This window comes from Homo sapiens, chromosome 18 (genome assembly GCF_000001405.40).
Source record: "Homo sapiens chromosome 18, GRCh38.p14 Primary Assembly".
Lineage (NCBI taxonomy): Eukaryota > Metazoa > Chordata > Mammalia > Primates > Hominidae > Homo > Homo sapiens.
This window is the reverse complement of record NC_000018.10, coordinates 73,838,894-73,843,974: the sequence shown is the minus strand read 5'-3', so window position 1 is coordinate 73,843,974 and position 5,081 is coordinate 73,838,894. Positions and strand designations below refer to the sequence as shown.

General features: G+C 41.8%; 1 annotated feature.

Annotated features, from left to right (window-relative positions):
• Nucleotides 851-1,024: a silencer, noted in NCBI's record as "fragment chr18:71510186-71510359 (GRCh37/hg19 assembly coordinates)". NCBI's record gives its function as "represses an EF-1alpha promoter that drives an FKBP-Casp9 reporter gene in an ReSE screen in K562 erythroleukemia cells {active_cell/tissue: K562}" and the evidence as "EXISTENCE:reporter gene assay evidence [ECO:0000049][PMID:32094911]".

The following is a 5,081-nucleotide window of genomic DNA, read 5'->3' as shown; positions in this document are numbered from 1 at the left end:
AAAACCTAAGCCATGGAAGATAATTTCCATTTACCTTTTACCTGGAATTTCTATTGGTTCACCCTTAGTGTGGGGATTTGGAGGCAGATTCCAGGCACCTGTTTACCATGGCTCAAGGGGCATTCCTGTGTTGACCAGGATGTTGCTTTCCCCCGGGCAGGAGAGTGAAGGTCTTGCTGCACCAGGTAGAAATACTTTTGGGTAAAGTTTGATTTGCAAATCATGGATGAGTTTATTCCAGGCAGAAATAAAGCATTTGATTGAACTGCCGTTTATGGGAGTCATTAGCGTCTGCTGTGCACGCTTGATTGCCTGTGTGCTTAGAGCTCCCATCTCATCTGGGATGCTCTGCGTTAGGACTTCTAAGCAGAACGCAGCCTGTTGCTTCTTCCATGTGGTTTGCATTGATCAAACTTCTATTTTGTGATGCTCTGAGAATGGGGAACACGATTGGCTGTGGAATAGCAGCAATAATATCATTAGAAACCAGAGCAATTATCCAGTCATCATCATTTGCAGGGCTAGCATGAACGATGGTGGTTAGAGAATGCATCGTGTTTGGACAGCATTTTATTAATTAGCATTTCCCCCTGCTTGCTGGGGACGATGATTCCTGAGTTCTAAATGAATATGAACACAGATAACGAAGAACTGCCTCAATATCCCAGTTACCATGCCGACTATCTTATAGTCATTTTCTGATGACATTCTTGATTGATTCTTTTGGGAACTTTGGTTACCACACAGGCTTAAGGCAGTTTTTTTCCTGCCATCTTGACAATAACATTTCTCTTCTCTCCAAGGGAAATACAAATGCATCTTCAGGGTGGTATTCCTTTAACTTGAGCTTAAAAATTTTATTATTAAATATTTATCAAAGTTAAATAAATGATGTGGTTAATTATAACACTGATAAAGTTTTCTTTTCCTGCTGTGGAGACTGGCTCCAGAGAACAACCCGGGCTGCAATTGCTTGCGTGACCCGCTAGGTGGTGCAGCTGAAGAAAGCATGCGCATGCAGCTTCGTAAATGGCCGAGGAAATAAATAATGGGGTCGCTTAATGGGTTTGGGGATAAATAATGACTGTTTGCTTTTTTTGGACAACTTTGATAGAGATCTTGGGAATGAAATATCAGCTTGACAACCTCCTATCTGTTCAGCACAAAATCAATTATGTTTCTAGTTAAACATTAGGGAGGGAGAGATTTGATTCAAATGTAGGCATGAGTTTCATTTTATTTTTTAGTTTAGAGCAGTTCCTGCTTTTCTAAGGGCAAATAAAAAAGTTACAAAAGAGAATGAAAGAATAAAAACCCCAAAGCACTCTGTATTGTCTTCATTCACCTGTAGGAAACAACCTTCCCCATGAGGTCTCTATCCTGTCTGGTTTTAAACTTAAGATTGTAAAAACTTTTTATGCTAGATATTATCTCCCTGGTAATGGAAGCAATGAAAGGCCTGAGAATATTTGTGATGCTCAGTACATATTGAGTGTATAGCATTGTTCTCCTGTTAAATAAGTATCTTTACTGGTGTAAAATGATTGAGCCACCTAGCCGGTGGCATACAACCACTGAAAGATAAAACATAAAATTTCACCAGGAGCCCAGTGGAACACACACTGTGAAATTTAACTACAGGAACCTTCTCCACAGGCTCCTTCTCCTTCCCCAGCTCTACTTGCAAACTGTCACATTTTTATTTGGATTACTTCTGTTAAGAGCTTGACTGATCTAAGCTTTAAATCAGGTACTTAGCCAAGCATTACTGGTTAGAATAGGTTTGTTTGTGAGCTTTCTCAATGCTTTTATTTTACATTTTATTGATATAGACCTTTTGCATTCACTGCGGAAGAGCCATCCCTTAAACAGGGAGCTCAATCAGCATCAGAAGTGTAGGCAAGAATAGGTGTGACCTCTGTGGACAGCAGTTTGTCCAATAGTACAACATTTAAAATACATATCTCCTTTAATCTAGTAATTCCAGGACTAGGAATTTAACCAGCACACATGCTTGCACAAATAGTTAGCAGTATATATGTGAAGATTTTTTTTTAATTACAGCATTGTTTGCAATAAAAAGGAAGCCTATAAACAACCTGATTGTTCACCACTAGGGGACTGGTTCTGTGAGTGTATCCATAATAATGCAAAATAGTGCAGTAATTCAAACAGATCAATTCTGTTTATTTATATTTACTGGTATATTGTCCATACAGTGATACATCTTGAACAACGTTCAAGAAATATTAACTGAAAAAATTGCAGAATAGTATTCATTTATTTTTACTTTTAATTTTTGTGAGTGTATAGTAGGTGTATATATTTATGATGTACATGAGACGTTTCAATACAGGAATGCAATGTGAACAGGCACATCGTGAAGAATGGGTCATCTACTCTTTCAAGCATTTATCCATTGAGTTGCAAACAATCAAATTACACCCTTTATTTTATAATGTACAGTTATTATTGACTATAGTCACCCCATTGTGCTATCAAATAGTAGGTCTTATTCATTCTTTCTAACCAGAATAGTATTTACGATGTGGTGTCATTTGCATAAAAAGGATTTATCAATTATATCTATATATAGATAGATAGATAGATAGATAGATAGATAGATATGTGTTTGTGTATGTGTGTGTGCTTGAGCAGCATAGAAAAACTTGGAAAAACACACAAAAGTGGTAACTGTTATCTCCAAGAAATGGGGCCAAAGAGAAAACATAAAATATGCTTTTCCTCTTGATTTTGTATGTTTTCCTTGCCAGTGACTTCTTCTTTTTTAAAAAAAATCCGTGAATATGTATTTTTTTAAAACAAAGTGGGTTCCATCTGCAGGTTACTGTCTAAACACCACAGGAATGTCCTGAGCCTCACTGAATGATGTGTGAACCTCTGCGATGTCCTGCAGAAACCCTGAGAAGCTGAGTTTAAGCTCTTTTATATCGCAGAGCAGAGAAGCTGCTTTGTCCCCTTGCATTCCCAGGCAGAGTCCTGCTTCTCTTCCTGGCAGGTATTTGTGCACCCACCTTTCCCTCGGCCTCCACTTGGTGAGCCTTGGCTGGCACGAGGTGACAGCTGCTACTGCACCACAGGGCCAGAGCCTAATGGGCCCGGGAAATGGTTTCCACGGCTCTCAGAGGCTCTCTCCTTGGAACAGGCTGAAAGAGGGAACATGATGGATGCCTCGCTCGCCACCTTCCCAGGAGGACGCATCGCTAACTTCATAGCTTATTGACTCAAGGCCCTGCTGCAATCTGGTGTGAGGGACACAGGGATTTGCTGACTCTTTCAAGGTTACAGGGATTGTCACTGAAATGCATCTGATGCTCTGAGCTCCCCTCTGACTTCTCTGCCTCAACTCTGTGCTACTCTTTCTCTGCATTAAAACAGAGATAGCCTCCGAAAGCCATGGCTTTGGAAATCCACAGTGCTTGCCGCCAGGAGGGCACAATGCTGGGCTTACATGACTCTCCTAATTAGACCATTAGTTACATAATGACCACATTCAGAAGGAAGGGAAGGCTGTGCAGTGCACTCAGCATTTTAATGCTACTGCAATTGCTGCAATCATTTCTTAGGGTTACTTCTGTCCTAATTTTCCCCAAATCTGCTGCACAGATGCGGCAACTGTCCCAAGCATCTCTGGCCTAACAGATTTATGCACCTAGCAATTTGCATCTAGCAGGTTCGAGATAGTGTGTCTCTAGTGGGCCATGCCAGCTGGTCAGCTATGTTGACCTGCACGGGTTGTGGAGACCTCACTTCTAGTTGGTGTGGTCCAAGGAGCCTGGTCTTCCTGGATGTGTGGCATTCACCAGCACATGCAGAAGAAGGGAGAGTGCACCTCATTTAATAGTGGCCAGGGCTATAGCAACACCTTTCTAGGGAGTGGAGAGGGCCAAAGGATCCCAGACTTGTCAAGAATGATCCTTTTGATAAATTGCAAGTCAAGGCTCAAGAAACCTAGCTGCCAACTGTCCTGCCTTTTTCTATATAAGGTCCAGAGTATTGGTCATTTGTTATACTTTCACCTATAGGCACATTTTATGTTTTTCTTTCATCAAATAAATAAAACTTAGCTATCTATCTTTAGATAATTTATATTTCCCTTCCCCCACCCTGCTGTGACTGTATTAAGACTAGTTGTTTCACCCATCCAGCACCACTGGGCACCTGGCCCTACCAGGGCAAGGAAAGGGTGGGGGCAGTGGGGATAGGTGGTCCAGTCTCCAGTCCAGGATGCTCAGCAATATTTGGATTCTCCAGGCTGCAAAGAGCGTGCCAGAAGGAGACCTGGTATTGCTTGTAGAGTGTCAGAGAGGGGCTGGGTTTGAGTTCAGTGGCTACAGGATTCCTTAACAAGTACTGGGGTTTTATGGCAAAGAGTCTATTTGCAACGTTTGTTGAGCAATTTCCTGGAGCAGAAGTTGATTAAATTAAACCAGCGTAAACATCAGCCGCCACTGGCTTTCATCATGAGTTCTGGTAGACTGTCTCCAAATACCTTCACCAATTCCCTGATCATGTAGTGAGGTTTCGTAGTTGGGGCCCCAACATTCACTTTTGGTGCTTTGGCTGCATTGCTTTCCTTCACTTAACCTGGTAGACATCTCAGTGGTTCATAACCATGATCACCGGACTGATTGTGACTCCCACATTGGGAGTCCTAGGGTCTCCCTGGAAAGATGGGAGAGAGACACAGAGACTCATCGTTATCCTCCAACTCTCTTTTCTTAGGAGACTGAAGGGAGAGGGGGATCCATGTTCCCTCTACATTGTTCTGCAGCAGACTGTTCATTCTACCTTCACGGAGAGCGTTTTCTTCTGCACTTTCTGCAGCCTGATCTTTCTTTTGCTGATATCATGGAGGTGCATTACTTTTCTCCTTGCACCCAACTTTCTTTCTTTTTCTCAGCCTATGAGCTGCACCAGGAGGCCTTGAGTTCTTTTTTGTGATTTCCCTGCTTTTCTCTTATGGGGTATGTGGCCAGATTCTCTAGGTGTAACTTTTTGCAATTATGGTTGCATTTATGGAAGTTAGAGTATGAAGTCCAGGAATAGGAAGAAAACAT